Source organism: Homo sapiens, chromosome 7 (assembly GCF_000001405.40).
Source record: "Homo sapiens chromosome 7, GRCh38.p14 Primary Assembly".
NCBI lineage: Eukaryota > Metazoa > Chordata > Mammalia > Primates > Hominidae > Homo > Homo sapiens.
This window is the reverse complement of record NC_000007.14, coordinates 70,529,705-70,546,619: the sequence shown is the minus strand read 5'-3', so window position 1 is coordinate 70,546,619 and position 16,915 is coordinate 70,529,705. Positions and strand designations below refer to the sequence as shown.

The following is a 16,915-nucleotide window of genomic DNA, read 5'->3' as shown; positions in this document are numbered from 1 at the left end:
TTTTTAGTAGAGACGGGGTTTCACTGTGTTAGCCAGGATGGTCTCAATCTCCTGACCTCGTGATCCGCCCATCTTGGCCTCCCAAAGTGCTGGGATTACAGGCATGAGCTACCACGCCTGGCCCTGAATGATTTTTATAATGAACACATATTATATTAAATTTTTTGATTTGTTTTGAGACAGAGTCTCACTCTGTTGCCTAGGCTGGAGTGCAGTGGTGCAATCTCGGCTCACTGCAACCTCCACCTCCCGGGTTCAAGCGATTCTCCTGCCTCAACTTCCCAAGTAGCTGGGATTACAGGCGTGAGCCACTGTGTCTGGCTAATTTTTGTACTTTTAGTAGAGATGGGGTTTTACCATGTTGGCCAGCTTGGTCTGGAAATCCTGACCTCAAGTAATCCACATTCCTCAGCCTCCCAAAGTGCTGGGATTACAGGCATGAGCCACCACACCCAGCTAAAATTTTAAGTTAACTCTGTAGCAGTGTTTTCACTGATCTATATGTAAATTTTAATTTTGTTAATTTTCCAAGCAGATAATGCCCATTCACCACATATATTGTGGCAATGGGAAAACCACTGCCCAAGACACTTGAGATCCCTTACTATCTGTTTTTAGCTTATTGTTATGGGAAATTTCAAACCAATATGAAAGTAAACAAAGTAGTTAAATTAACTCCTGTGCAACCATTTCCAGACTTACACAATGATCAGTCCATGGCCAGTCTTGTTTCATCTCCATGTCTACCCACTCCCCCCACTCCTTCTATGAAGGCTCGGAAGAACTGATGCTTGATGTTCCCATCTTTGCATCCCTATGTCAAGATGCAAAAATGGGAACATAAACGGCTCTGAGACCCTGAGATGTATCAGTAGGGGGAGGGACAGAGGTGACTCCTCTGAATGATCGTCTAGCCAAAAGAGAGTAGCTCCTTCCAGAAGAAAAGGCTTGGCTGAGACAGAAAGGGAGAAAGATCGTGGGAGGTCAAAAAAGACTTTGTCATTCACAGTGGGGCTATGCCTGGTCAAACATGAACGGACCATTTTCTAGGAATAATCTGCTCATCCACAGAAGGGTGAATGAGGTTAACATTCTCAGTGCACTGGAGCACCATCTAAAGCAGGTGGGTGAAGTCATTTACCAAGTGGTCTCTTTGTGCCCTTGAGGAAGTATTCACTTTATATGGGTGAGTGGCTTATGCCTCAGGCCGTTATTTCCTCTTAAACACTCAGTGAACTGGAACAGCAGGGACTTTCTCTCCGAAGAGATGGAACCCTAAAGGGTCCTCTGTCCTTACAGCATGCCCGCAGCCCAGCTGCTTTGCGTCCAAAAGCCATGCCAGAACTTAGGGAACTGCTCTCGGCTTTCCCTTTGACCTGTGCTCTGGTCTGGATGCAGACCATCCCTGGCTGGGTGGCTCTCTTTTAGCATTACAGTGGGACTTTCCCTTTCTTCCAAGCTCTTCCTACCGATGATTTGGACAGTTCTTCTAGACTTGAAATTCAAGGCCTGAATTTCAATTTTGAAATACTGTTTCCCGAATCACTGTCTTGGATGAAAGAGCTAGGATGAAGGAAGGGAAATTTCAGGCCTGTCCAAAGCGAGGCTTCTCAGGATGCTGGATGAGGTCCCCTGGGTCCCTGCTTTTGGAGAGGAGAGTCTGGTCACCAAGTACATAGGTCCCAGGCTCCTTGGATCACGCTCAGTCCCTTCAGTACACAGCATACCTGGAAACAATCTTCAGAACTGAGACCCAGGTAAATAAGCCGTCTTCATGGGAAGGAGAAAACTGTTAACAGCTGCTGTACAGAGCCCCCAGCACACCCCGCAGCCATTCAGATCTCAAGGGAAACCTGCTAAGACTCTAACCTAGATCACTTTATCACACTGAAGCCCCATCTCTGAAATGAAAGTCAGCATGGTCTCCTGGTGGTCAAAGTGGAAACCTTTTATTATCTTGAAAATAAAAAACAACGAAAGACAAATCCTAACTGCAGGCCTGTGTGATTTTGAGAAAGACACTTAGCTTTTCTGGTTCCAACCCTTCCAGTTCTGTCACTGCTCAAGCGGAGGCCTCAATTAAGGTTGGTGGGGCAAAGTGAGATTTGAGGGGATTTATTCCTGATGCCTGTGATGGTCACCAGGAAGAGCTCTGTACTGTCCTGTGTATCATTTCTCGGCCTAACTAGTTGGAATGAATAAACCAAGATCTCCACCTCACTGTCAGCAACAAACAGATTTGTCAGTTTTCACTCTTGTATTTTGGCAGCAAACCTCCTTTAGGTAGTTATTAACTTTTAAATGTAAAAATCAGGCACCAAATCCTAAAGCAGAAAAGACATACATAATTTGGGTTACTTAAAATGCCTCCAAGTGAACAGGTGACAGATGTCAAGCCTCCTGGCACCCGGAAGAAAGGCACTGCAACAGACTATGAGGATTCCTGTGTTAATCAGGTAATAGTAACTTGGGTAATTAGCAAATCACACCAAATCTTGTTTAAGTCCCAAATCTCATTTAGAGCCTTTTGGAGAAACCGTTTAAATACAAAGGACACATTCTCCTTCTGACAGAAGATGCCTGCTTACTGGGGCAGACATCCCAGCTTCCCTGCCTCTATTAAATCCATTTTAATTATGAAGTCTCAAGGTCTAATTCACCAAAGCCTGAAAGAGAGGGTACACATCCCTTTGCTCTTGCTAAGGAATCAAGAAGCCCTAGACTCTGGAATTCAGGTAGACTTCAAAGACTCAACAAGTCCCAGGCAAAGAAAATGGCGATAGTCTTTGCCACTGGCCTACTACAGCACTCCCATACCTGTTAGAAAACTCCTGCCTTTTTACCTTTGCCTATTTTTAATTCACATGTAAGGGATTTAGACAATAAACACCCCTCAACAGGAGGAGGCCCATGGCTCCTGAGCTTGTGAACAATCCAAAGGCATTTTGAAGGCAAGCATGACGGGACAGGCAACAAACTGCAGTCAGGTAGTGGTGGGCCAGCTTAGGCTGGAGCAACAACTTAGGTGTGTGTGTCTGAGTCCCTCTCTCTGCTAGCTTGGCATTTTTAACCTTTTTTTTTTTTTTTTCCCAAGATGGAGTCTCACTCTGTCGCCTAGGCTCAAGTGCAGTGGTGCGATCTCAGCTCAGCACAACCTCTGCCTCCCGGGTTCAAGCGATTCTCGTGCCTCAGCCTCCCGAGTAGCTGGGATTACAGGTGCCCGCCACCACCCCTCCCGAGTAGCTGGGATTATAGGTGCCTGGCTAATTTTTGTATTTTTAGTAGAGACGAGGTTTCACCATCTTGGTCAGGCTGGTCTCAAACTCCTGACCTCAAATGATCCACCCACCTCAGCCTCCCAAAGTGCTGGGGTTACAAGCATTAGCCACCACACCCTTCCTTAAACCATTTTTATAGAGCTCTTTATAATACTCCTCCCTTATTTGGATCTCAAAGTCCATCTAAAACTTTACTGAATTCCAATCCTGTCATCCTGCTCAGAATAGCTCATACTTATATTATATTTCCACAAGACAGTTGGTTTAAGCCTAGGGACTTTTGGGTGTCACTTGTCCATGTTCCTTTTTAGCTAGAGAGTGTCAGAAAAATGATCTAAAGGTCTGTAGCACTGCCACAGTGTCTAGTTGTCTCAGCCCCTTAGTGCTTGGAACTGAATCTATTTTTTTCACTTACTATTTATATCCTCTTACCCAATCACCCAGGCAACATTCTGGAGAAGGGGGAGGTCAGGGAGTTGATGCCATCATTGATATAAGAAGAAAAGAAATCTGAAGTCAGCTTGGGGCACCAGAAGTCAGACAACCTGGATTTAAGACACCTGGCTCAGCTACTCAGTATAACTGTGTGCCTCTGGGCACGTCTCTTCTACTCTTTGAGCCCCATCTGCTAAATGGGAACAAGAATATTTCCCCACTGACTTCATGGGGCTGGTTGATAAATAAAGGAGACAATGAATAGCAGGGGGCTCTGTTAACCATAAAGTTTAACACATAAAGTTTACCCCAGAGGCCTGCTAAGGAGATGAAATGCCATGTAGCTGGCCTGCGCCAGTGCCTGGAAAGAGGACACCCCACTTTGCATTCTCCCTGGCGTAACTGCTAGCCTTGCTTGCTGCCTCCTACATTGGATGCAGGGACTGACCAGCTGCTCTTAAAAAAACCTTGTGTAGTGTCTCTGCTCTGGAAAGATGAGCCAAGGGGGAGCAGAGCAATAGAAAGGAAAGATGTCTAGACTAGGAGTTCAGATACTTGGGGTCTAGGTGCAACTCTGCCACTAACCTACTACGTTAACCAATGACTTGGAAAATAAAACAGATTATTAGGAAGAGAGCTAGTGAACTCTCAGGAAGGAAGGAAGCTTTTAGGATCACTCAAAGCCAACCTGGGTTATGAAGAACAAGTCATAAGAACAAGTCTTTTTTTTTTAGATTGGTAAACTTGAGCAATGACATAGACAGAACAGGTCTGTATTCAGTGAGACATAAATACATTTCACATGCAATTCAAGTGGTCAAGGCAGAGAAACGTGGCTGTGACAAAAATACAATTAGGTGAGTTCATAAATGTTTGATGTGCCCGAAGGCAGATGATGAAGGCCTCTAATGGTAATTTCTTTCATCCTATTAGGTTCCACATTCACATCAGCCACTGATGAGGATCAGGAGCATTACCTGGTGATAAGCTGTTGAAGACACCGTGCTTTTTGTCACCTTTCAAACACTGCATATGTAGTTCTGCCTACCTCAAACTTTAATCCCTAGCTCTTTCCTTGGCCAACTTCTCACAATATCACATTTCCTAGAAAGCCTGAGTCTGTGAAGCACCTTTCCTCTACGCTTCTGCAGTTCCCCTCTTTTGTGCTGTCACCCTGGATTGGAAAAGCACAGTCAATTGTCTGTCCCTCCCAATAAATTGTGAGGGAAGCAACTGTGCTGTCTGATTTCCTGCTGTATCCCCAGGTTCAGCACAATGTCTGGCACACAGTGGTTGAGCTGAATTTGCATATGATGTGAAGCTGGAAATAGCAGTATATTGGATCATAAAACACAGATCCAACATATCTTTGCAGACTAAAGAAATGAATATGTTCCTTCTTATCCTGATAAGATGATCTTTAGGAATAAATGTGGTTTGCACATAGGTTCAGTAATGACAAATCACACATATACGTGGAGCAGATAAGGTGAGCAGTTATGTATGTGAAGAATGACTCGATTAAACTTGAAATAAATGAACGACCCTTTTAAGGCTATCGAAACAGCCAATTTCACTAAAAGGTGGCATGGGTCTCTGTCAAGGGCTGTGACAGTCTCTCACCTCATTCTGGGTACCTCAGAGCTCAGAACAAACAGAACAACAAATCAGAACATGTCTAGAAGAAGGCAATTAGAAGGATGCAGGGCTGGGAAACCAAGCAATAGGAGGGATGGCTGAAAGACCTGAAAGCAGGCCTAGAGAAGGAAAGCTTAGCTAGGAATAAGTACCTGCTTTCAAATGCCTGGAGGGATAAGAGGTAGAAAGGGGACTGGATTTAGATTTCGTGGACTCAGGAAGGGGTAGCACCAGTGGGAAAAAGCAACAGAAACAGACTTCACTTCATAGGGGGGGACTTTTGCATGAATTAGAGGTTTCCATGGGGTGCCTGCTCAGAACTGTTTTCCAGCACAAGTTCAGGCAGAGACCAGATCAACCCCTCCCTGGTGATGCTGAAGACATTTACAAAGGCAGAGGCTGGCATTAGACAACCTTTCCTGAGTGCTAATCAACTCTGACGTTCTGTCATGCTAATGAAGTCACCTACCACCTCTGTGCTTTACCCTTCTCAAGGTCAAAGGGATGTGCTGGCAGTTGTACCAGTCAGGATTTTGCAGGAAGAGGTGGAGTCATGTTTTGAGATGTAGCTGCATCCTCAGAGTAAGCCTCACTACAGGGTACTTGCAGGAGGATGTGAGCACCTCCCAAACCAATACCATGAATCGATGGAAACCCAAGTGGGGAGCCACCAAACACAGCACGTGATCTTCAACCTCCAGGAAGGCTTGACTGCTCCTGCACCAAGGAGCCCTGAGCAGGCACAATGGACTTTCACCAGAAACCCAGAGACGACTGTGTGCTTCCCCCGGGCTGCACACAATGGTAGGGCAGCTACAATGGTAGCTGGGGTGAAGGGTGTTTCTTCTTCAGTGGGCCTAGTGAAATTCTTGGCACTGCTGGGTAAGAGAGCAAAGAGGCTGTTCCCATTACAAGGCATTGCCCAGTAGGCTCCCCACATATCTGCTAGGGGGGTAGCTGCCCTTCCCAAAGAGAGAGGATGGTAGCAAGAAGCCTTTTCTTCTCCCGAGTTTTCTGTAAACTTCTGCAAATCCAAGAGAATGACCACCACCTCCACCAACAATATCACAACAACAAATAACCTACCACCCAAGAAGGACTATGAGACACTTATTTTCCATTTTGCTGGGCTGCTGAAGGTAAAGGACCAAGTGGAAGGCAGGGTGCCAAGAGCTCCTTTTCCCTGAGGCTATGGTCTAAGTGAAACCAAGAAAAATTGAGGCAAGGAAAAAAAAGGGAGAAAGAAACCTTCAACACCACAAAAAGCTAATGGCTGGAAAACAGTGGGAGGAGTAGGGCTGGATGAGTGGAAACCGGGCTTCCTCAGTGGCTGAGAATATGCCCTACATAGGTTTGCAGAGAGGAGCCCATCCCTGTGCCAACCCCCACAGAACAGGCGGGCAGCGCTGGTTTTGTTGGCAGACTTTTTTTCTTTTGGTGGGGTGCTTTCTTCCCGCACAGCAGACACCAGAGTGGAAGCTGACAAGCACTGGCAGGATTTTAAAAATTGCTGCCACTCTCCCACAGACGCCCATTATGTCTCTGGAGCCTCGCGATTCGCAGTGTAAAAGCATAATCAAGAGAAATCACGGTTCAGCTCAGTCAGGGATGGGCAGAATAGTCCATTTAACTTTATGTTAAAAAAAGGAAAATAATTGGACCAAAATTTGCTTGAAATGGGAGTAGGAAATGGCTTGTTTTCAATCCATTTCAAATGAAAAACTCCCATTAAATCCTCATTGGAAACTATTTAGTTTGGAAACAAGTTTGGTATTCCATAGACAGTGCACATTAAAAGTTGCAGCACAGCACAGTCTGTGTAAGAACCATCCAACAACCTGATGACCTAGTTCCACAGGGCTTTTCAAAGAAGGGCTGGCTGGGCTTAGGCAGTTCACAGCCTGGTTGTTGGCCTCACAACAAAATCTGCAAGACCAAACTGGCTGGAGAGAAGGAAGTCTTTCAGGTTGACAGAAAGCCCCAAACTGGCAAACAACAACATGGCTGTTTCTGCTGGCAAACAACAACATAGTAACTATGACCAGAGAGCAATTGGAGATGGTGGGAAGTGAGTCACTGAGAAGAAGGAAATGGATTCTTAGTGCTGTACCAGGTTGCGACTCTACCTCACAAATGACAGCAGCCAACTCCCCCAGCCCAAAGCATCAGGGGCGTGGAATCATAGAATCCCAGGTGACTGTCTCACTATTCGGTCCCCTCCACCTGTCACTCTGTGGTCTGCTACGTTACCAGAGGGGGCTATGTTACCAAGGATGCCTGTGGAATTAACTATGCGGTTAATTCCATGGGGTCAAAGACTTACAAAGAACTAAAGAAAACCCGTTTTGTTCATCCAGAACCCATCACTATACCTGGCACACAATAGGTGTTCAATCCATGTTTGATGAAGGAAAGAATATATAACTGTTCTACGAAAAGAACATATCTATGACATGTTCTATGAAACATTTTCTATGAAATGCTCTATGAAATGGAATATGGGAAAGGTCTGGTGTCAGAAGCCTTGCTGGGTATCATGCTTTAAACATGAGAAGCACAAATTTTAAAACTTCACACATTAACCATGCAAGAACCAGACTCTTAATAGACAGGTACAAAGTTCATAAATCAACAACCTTTAAATAAAACATATAACGCTTCCTCCTGATATTAAAGACTATGCTATTACTGCTTTAAGGAGCAGATGTTTCATTTATCTCTCTCTCTCTTTCTTTTTTTGAGACGGAGTCTTGCTCTGTTGCCCAGGCTAGAGTGCAGCAGTGCCATCTCGGATCACTGCAACCTCTGCCTCCTGGGTTCAAGCGATGCTCCTGCCTCAGCCTCCCAAGTAGCAGGTGGCAGACAGCCGCCTGCCACCACACCCGACCAATTTTTGTATTTTTAGTAGAGACGGGGTTTCACCATATTGGCCAGGCTGGTCTTGAACTCCTGACCTCAGGTGATTCTCCTGCCTTGACCTCTCAAAGTGCTGGGATTATAGGCATGAGCCACCACGCCTGGACTCTCTCTCTTACACAGGGTCTCACTCTGTCACCCAGGCTGAAGTACAGTGGTGCAATCATGACTCATTACAGACTTGATGCCCTGAGCTCAAGTGATCCTCCAGCCTCAGCCTCTGGAGGAGCTGGGACTATAGGTGCACGCCATCACACCTGGCTAGTTTTTAAAATTTTTTGTAGAAATGGGGTCTCACTATATTTCCCAGGCTAGTCTCAAACTCCTGGCCTCAAGTGATCCTCCCAAAATGCTGGGATGACAGGTGTGAGCCACCATGCCTGGCCTCATTTATCTCTTTGGAAGAACAAAGCCCACATGTCATGGCTGTCCCATGTTCTTGCAGGCCTCCGTGCATTCTCCATCTTCCCAGCCCAAACATTTTGTTCGGCAGTCAGGTTTCTCAAGATACTGAAATTTTTACGTCCTTCTTACTTCCATTTCTGCTCCTCTTTCTTTAATTTCCCACCTGCCTTCATTTCCTCCTTCATTTCACCTTCAGGGTTCTCTGGAAGTAATAAAATGGCTCTCAGTAGACCACCGCTTGATTTCTGCTTACAGGAGAGAGCTGTGTTACCTTCCCACACCACACGCTACTTCTCACTTAAGGGTTAAGCATGAGATCTCTCAGATCCAACATCCTCCGCTCCTATCGTAGCAACAGGGGCACAATGTGCATCAGTCACTAGGATCTTTAAATAAAATGGAGAGAGCTGCTTGCTGGAAAGTCTTAATTTCATTGAAAAGCATGGTTTAACATTAATAGAGTTTGCATATATAACATAAATCAACTCAGGAAAGGAGGCCCTCTTCTCCCAAACTGCTTTACACATTTCAGCAGTGTGTAAAAAACACAACCTGTCATAATTAATTTTAAGCAAAGAGAATTAATTCTGAAAGACTAAAATTTTGATTTAACAGCAACAAAAATCCAATGTTGTAGTACTGGGAGTGGATGGATGTAGCTACACACATCTTGGTTACAGAAGGTCACCTGCTTTTATTTTGTTTTACACCAGATTTATGGAGGATCTACTATGTACAGACCTCACGCTGGGTACTGGTGGGAAGGAGGTGGAGGGGAACATATACTTGTCCTTGTTTTCCAAGGTGGCTTGGCATGAGCACCAACATATAAATGTCTGAAAGTGGGGCTAAAATGATGAATGTGCATGGAGCCTGGGTTTCAGCGGCCTTAAAGTTTTGAACTGGGAACCTGAGGATGTGTTGTGGAGTGGGGCTGGGGACCAGAGAGCTAGCTGGTTGGAAGGTCAGCCATACATCTAATACTCTACAGTTGCTAACACATTCCTTCCTGTTATTACTTTTGATTTTTCTTTTTCTTTTTTCTTTGAGACAGAGTTTCACTCTTGTTGCCCAGGCTGGAGTGCAATGGCACAATCTCAGCTCACCGCAACCTCCACCTCCTGGGTTCAAGCGATTCACCTGCCTCAGCCTCCCAAGTAGCTAGGATTACAAGCATGCGCCAACTCGCCCGGCTAATTTTGTATTTTTAGTAGAGACGAAGTTTCTCCATGTTGGTCAGGCTGGTCTTGAACTCCCGACCTCAGGTGATCCGCCCGCCTCAGCCTCCCAAAGTCCTGGGATTACAGGCGTGAGCCACTGCGCTTGGCCTACTTTTGATTCTTCTACTGAAAAAAAAAAAAAAAAAAAAAAAAAAGCCTTGGCTTCTAGCATATCAGCAGAAGCGGGATCATCAGATCATTGAATCTGGTTTCTTAGAGGAGTTCTCTGCAGAGAGGTGTGCCTACTCTGCATATTCACGGTGAGGACCAATGAGAAAGGCCATGAAATCTTCTCTTCCACCATGGTTGGGCTACTTGGGCTCCCATATGTTAAGAAGGTCTAAAACAGGGCAAAGGCGCATACAATACTGACTTTCATTTTGTGTCTCTATGTAATGATGCCCTTTGACTCTTAATTACTTTTATTTTTTAATTTTTTGAGATGGAGTCTCACTCTGTCACTCATACTGGAGTGCAGTGGCACCATCTCGGCTCACTGCAACCTCTGCCTCCCTGGTTCAAGTGATTCTTGTGCCTACCTGGCTAATTATTTTATATTTTTAGTAGAGACAGGGTTTCGCCATGTTGGCCAGGCTGGTTTCGAACTCCTGACCTCAAGTGATCCACCCACCTTGGCCTCCCAAATTGCTGGTATTACAGGGGTGAGCCACCGTGCCGGCCTCTTAACTACTTTTACAGGAACCACAAAGAGTTATGACTCCTTTAATTTAGAGTAGGGGTAGAAGGTATTGCCTTGGGACAGCTTCAACCTTAGACACTCCCACACTGAGATCCTTTGTTTTACACTCCCTCCTTGGAAACCCAGTTGCTCTGCTTACAGTATAGCTCTTTATTTTCTCACCTACCATCCTCTTTATTGGGTGGGAAGGCAGTAACGCTCTGCATGTCTTTTGGTGGAGGAAAGAAGGAAGACTAACTAAGCCAGTGTGGTCCACCAGTGGCTCCCAGATCACCACTGGCCTATAACCAAGTAAGATGAAAACAACACAACAGGCTGGGCGCAGTGGCTCACGCCTGTAATCTCAGCACTTTGGGAAGCTGAGGCGGGTGGATCACCTGAGGTCAGGAGTTTGAGACCAGCCTGGCTAACCTGGTGAAACCCCGTCTCTACTAAAAATACAAAACTGAGCTGGGTGGGGTGGCGGGTGCCTGTAATTCCAGCTACTCAGGAGGCTGAGGCAGGAGAATCACTTGAACCTGGGAGGCGGAGGTTGCAGTGAGCCGAGATCACGCCACTGCACTCTAGCCTGGGCGACAGAGTGAGACTCCGTCTCAAAAAATAAATATATAAATAAATATAAATAAAAATAAAAAAGAAAACAACACAACAATGCAGTGAATTTTCAGTTTTCATGTGCAGAATTGTTACTTATTCTAATATTATATATGTCTTGTTCTTTGGTATTAGTGACAACAATAAAAATATAAGAGGCACCAAGTGCTCTCTGTGCCAGGCTCTCAGTGCCTTTCATTCATTAATTCACTTAATTCTGCCAATAATCCCATAAGGTAGTTACAGTTATAATCATCCCCATTTCACAATGAGGGAACTGAGGCAGAGAAGTTACTTAAATTTCCCAAGGTCACACAGCTTACTAGCCCAGGTATCATCAGAATTTCTTTGAGTGTACAACTCTTAACCAGTACATTACATCTTTTTTTTTTTTTTTTTATGAAATAGATGGTGATAGTTTATGGTATTCATACTTTAAAAAAATTCTTACTTGGCAATATAAAAAGCTAGCAATTCAACTCTATGCAGGCCTCCTACAATTACAAAAAAATATACATTTTTTTTTCACCAGTTCGTGACATTCTGAAGTCTTATAACCTGTTGGTGAATCATACTAAATCATCATCATCATTACTGCCATCACCATAATCACCATTACTATTACCTATATGGTCCTGTGCTGAGTGTTCACAGGTAACAAAATGTAAAGATATTGCTCTCCTAGTGCCTATTTAAAAAACAAAAAAAGGCTGGGCACAGTGGCTCACGCCTGTAATCCCAGCACTTTGGGAGGCCGAGGTGGGCGGATCACCTGAGGTCAGGAGTTCAAGAACATGCTGACCAACATGGCGAAACCCCTTCTCTACTAAAAATACAGAATTAGCTGGGCATAGTGGCACATGCCTGTAATCTCAGCTTCTCAGGAGGCTGAGGCAGGAGAATCGCTTGAACCTGGGAGGCGGAGGTTGCAGTGAGCTGAGATTGTGCCACTGCACTCCAGCCCGGGCGACAGAGTGAGACTCTGTCTCAAAACAAACAAACAAACAAACAAACAAACAAACAAACAAACAAACAAATTCATATTCCCAATAACTCCCCGATATTCTGTCTTGCCTATGTTTGACATGCTGAAAATCTCAAATGTAAAAATCTCATTGGTCTTTCCCAAAGTGCCAACCCTCCCAGGCGTCAGAAATCAACCCTTGAGTACAGGGATTGTAAAAGAGCAGCAAAAGGCAGCAACCAGCAGGGCACCATGAGGCCATCTCACCCAGGCCCCTGCTTGAACATTAGTACACTTGTCCAATGTTGAGATCCAGAATAGTGGGGTGCTGGAAGCCTGCCGATGTGGAGGCAGAGAAAAGGCAATACCAGAGCGACCTCTTAGTTGGCCATCTCTTTGAGTGCTACAAAATATTCAACCCAGAAGGCTCCCAGCCCCTGCCATTATGAAGAGGGTCCCCCTTTACTCATTACTCATTGCCATTCACTACTCTCCAGACTGAAGGCAACCATTGTGTAGGCAGAGTGGACAGAACAAGGGTTCCCTGACTGTACTTCCAGCACCCAAGGAAGCCCACTGCTGCATGGTGCCAAGCTTGCCTGCCACTCCCACGCTCAGCTGCTACTAAAGGCTGGCCCTGGTCTAGGAGGACACAGCAGCCATTACTTGCCAGCTCCCTGCTGGTTGCTGTGAGAATTCCAGCTCCAGCCTAAGCTAGGAGAGCAATGGAAGCATCCAACTCTTTGTCTGACTATGAGGTCTGCATCGGCAGAGATTCTAGGTTTGATCTCTTCTGTGATTTTATTAGTGTCACCTACAAGGCAAGAGGGCTTTACCCATAACACAGCATTAAACACGAGCTAGTTCCAGCATAGAGCTACAATGTAAGGGACAGCTGAACAGAAAACAGCTGTTCTGCCACGGGAGAAAACATTCTAAGGGCAGTCTGGAACAGCTCTTTTGTGAGAAAAGCATAGAGCCAGGGTTCTCTCAGCAGCAGCTACAACTTGAGGCAGAGTTCAGATTTAATGTGGACACCCATTAGAAAACAGGCTGGTCTGGGAATGGTGCCTCACGCCTATAATCCCATCACTCCGGGAGGGTCAGGTGTGAGGATCGCGTGTGCCCAGGAGTTTGAGACCAGCCTGGGCAGCAAAGCGAGACCGTTTCTACAAAAAAATTAAAAAGTAGCTGGGCATGGTGGTCCATGCCTGTGGTCCCAGCTACTAGGGAGGCTGAGGCAGGAGGATTGCTTGAGATTGAATCTGCAAGTGAGCCGTGTTCATGCTACTGCACTCCAGCCTGGGTGACAGAGTGAGACCAAGTCTCTAAATAAATAAATAAATCAGGCCGGTTCCTTTCTGGCTGCTCCAGCACTTGGGCTGTTGTCTTTGAAGACAGTAAAATGCTGAGGCATCTCCTGAGTGAGAGGCCTCTGCTTTCCTTGATGACTGTCCCTATGGCCTTCTCTGGCCATAACCATCCACAACTACAAGAATGAGGATTATAATCCTTTCAGGAGTGGAAGCAAAGGATAAGGAACCAAAAAAACAGAGGAATGTGTCCACTGTCTTAAACTTGGATGGAATCAATTACTGAGTTGAACCCTCAATACTTAGACTCAGCAATAATTTTCTACCCTTTCCTACCTGTCATTCCCTTTCTTCCATTTTGTTCTGCAGGCCTTTACCTCCACCTCCCCTCATTTCCATCTTCACTGGTCAAGACGAGGCACTGTATTTGCTGCGAGAATGAAAAATCATGTTGGAGAGAAGGAAGAAGGCAAGGTGATGGGGTTGGTCTGAGACAGTATGGATTTGCTGTGCCCCCTGAACAGCCACGTAGGGGTTTCTTGTGGGTAGCTGGATACGCGAATGCAGGAATAGTTCATTTTTTTCTAGTGCCTTCTCACCTTCCCTTTCATATTCTTTCTTGGTGTCTGATACCCTGGTATCGACCCTGTTCTCAGTTATCAGCTAAGCTCTGGGTAGGCCTTGGTTGAACAACTACACCTTCATATAACAGGGGTCCTCTTGAAGACTGCAGACTCTTTAAGACCCAAAGGAATAAATCTGTAATGTAAATTCTAGGCACCATGAAAGGTGGTAGAGATTATGAAGAGAAGGAAACCTCTCTTCTTTGCAGAGATTGTTGAAGTAATGGCTTCTGATTTGGTCATGCCTCCCTGTATCCACATCCTTGGGGTCACTTCCCACGTTAACTCTGGGCCAGTTTTGTGACTTGCATTGGCCAGTGGCTCATCAGCAACGCGATACAAGCTGAAGCTTGCAAAGTGCATATTCACTGGGGCCTGCTCTCTTGCTGCTCCTTGGAATCCTGAGATTGCCATGCAGTGAAGCCTGGGTTAGCCTACTGAAGGGTAAGAGCCACATGGAGCAGAGATGAACTGTCCCAGCCAAGTCCCAGCACCATCCCCAGACCAATCAGCCTGTTATTCACCAGACGTAAGTCAAACAATCTAGACCAGCCAACCCCAGCTGGCCACAGATGACTGACAGAAGCCAGCAGAGATCAGCTGAGCTGGCCCAGAGAGGTACAATCACCTGCCTGACCCACAGAATTATGAGCTACTTAAAATAGTTGTTTAAAGTCGCTAAGTTTTGGGGGGGTTTGTTATATAACAAAAGCTAACTGACACCCTCTCCTTTCATCCTTGATATGGTTTGGATATTTGTCCCCTCCAAATCTCATGGTAAAATGTGGTCCTCAGTGTTGGAGGTGGGGCCTGGTGGGAGGTGTTGGGGTCATGGGGGTGGATCCCTCATGAATGGCTTGGTGCCATCCTCTTGGTGATGAGTCAGCTCTCCTTCTATCAGTTCACATGAGAGCCGATTATTTAAAGCCTGGAACCCCACCCCCAAGCCCTTTCTTTTGCTCCGTCTCTCACCATATGACATGCCTGCTCCCTCTTCACCTTCTGCCATGAATAAAAGCTTCCTGAGGCCTCACCAGAAGCAGAGCAGATGCTGGCACCATGCTTGCAAAGCCTGCAGAACCATGAGTCAAATAAACCTCTTTTCTTTATAAAAATTACCCAGCCTCAGGTATTCCTTTAGAGCAACATAAAATGGACTAAGACAACCCTCACGCACAGGATCTAGCTGTCTGCAGGCCTGGCGACTTTTGTTTCTTTAATAAATCTTAGTTTTAATTACAGGCAGTTCCAAATACTTTTGTTACAATAAATTATTTTAATCAGCCCACTGAATTAGTTACCTACCATGAAATGTGCATATACTGGCCTAATGAAATGTATATTCTGATTTAGATATTTATGTCTCATCTTAGTACAGTTTGCTAGATCAAATATTTCTCAAGAATAAGGAATACTCTAAGCCAGGAGTCAGCCAACCTTTTCTCTAAAGGGCTGTATCACAAATACTTTTAGTTTTGCAGACCTTACAGTCTGTCACAGCTGCTCAAGTCTGTTGCACAGCAAAAACATCCATGAGGCCTGCCTACTTCTAGGGATGGTACCATTGACTTCCCCTTTTGCCTGGGTCCCTTAGAGGGCATCCAACGATGCCCTCAAGTAATGCTTCCCAACGATAATAAGAACAAGAAAAAAGAAGTTGGTGCCTGATGGGTGAGTGAATGTTGGGGCAGAGCTAGAGGTGGTGGTGATGAAGGAAGCAGTAGGAGAGGAAAGCAGGAGAGAGAAGAATCTCAAACTCAAGATCCTGACCCGAGGCAGCAGTCCCACTAAACCCAGAAACATCCCCCCTCCCCTGACATCCCTTTTGCTAGTGGTAAAGAGAAGTAATAAAAGCAGTGACCATAAGCAGTGGCCAGGCTAATTTCCACGGTCAGGCTGGGGGCTGGGGAAGAGGGAGGGCAGAGAACCACAGAATGTATCCTGCAGAGGCACAACCCAAACCCTTGTCGGCTCTGCTATCATCATCATAAGTAATTCTACACAGACAGAAAAAGAAAGGCTTGAGCATAAGGTTTCTATCTGTGCCGCACAGAAGCTGATTAAAAATGCTAACTACCATGATTGTCCAACCACCAGACGCTCCCCAGAGACCCATGCTCACAGATGGTGATTAGTTTGGGATGGCCAGAACATTCACCAGTACCATGTTGCCGTAACACCCACAGACTATCTGTCACACTCCCAGGAGGCCGTTAAAGGCTGTTTACTTCATACAGTTAACTTGAACCATAAGCTTCATAAGCCTCTTTGATACAATTTTAATCACTCTCCTCATAAACCCATAACACTCCCCAGCACGGATATGCATTTGCACACAGCACAACGCAAAACTCCCCTTGGAATTTTGCAGCTAGCAACACCCCCTTCCCAATCTTCCCTCCCTCAAATGGATGCTGCCTCACTACAGATGTTGTCTAGAATCTCCCTTGATTCACGCACTTGCATTAGAGCTTCCCAGTGTGGTAATACATCATGGCTCCCAGTGGAAATTGGGTGATAAAAGATCAATACCAGGACCTTGTAACAAATGTTCCAACAGTGAAACTGCAAGCTACTGTTTATCTTTTCCAGAACATATTTTTCCCCCAAGCAAATTCTAATTTTCTAGACTGACCTCAGCTATCCTTTCTGATATTTACTTATTTGGAAAGCAAAAATAAGTGAGCTTCTGGATACTATTCCTGAATAGACACAAAGCCCTGTTTCATCACTGCCCCCTGAGAACTATGGTCACTGATCCCACCCCCTAGAAGGAGAACTCCATTGTTCCTCTCCAAATTCTGCTGCTTCTCAAGTCGCATCCTTCAT

At 45.4% G+C, this 16,915-nt stretch overlaps 1 protein-coding gene across 25 annotated transcripts in view; it reads right to left on the bottom strand.

The window, feature by feature from the left end:
• The window catches only part of AUTS2 (activator of transcription and developmental regulator AUTS2), a 1,195,032-nt gene that overhangs the window by 246,887 nt on the left and 931,230 nt on the right, over positions 1-16,915 (bottom strand). The window lies entirely within an intron of this gene.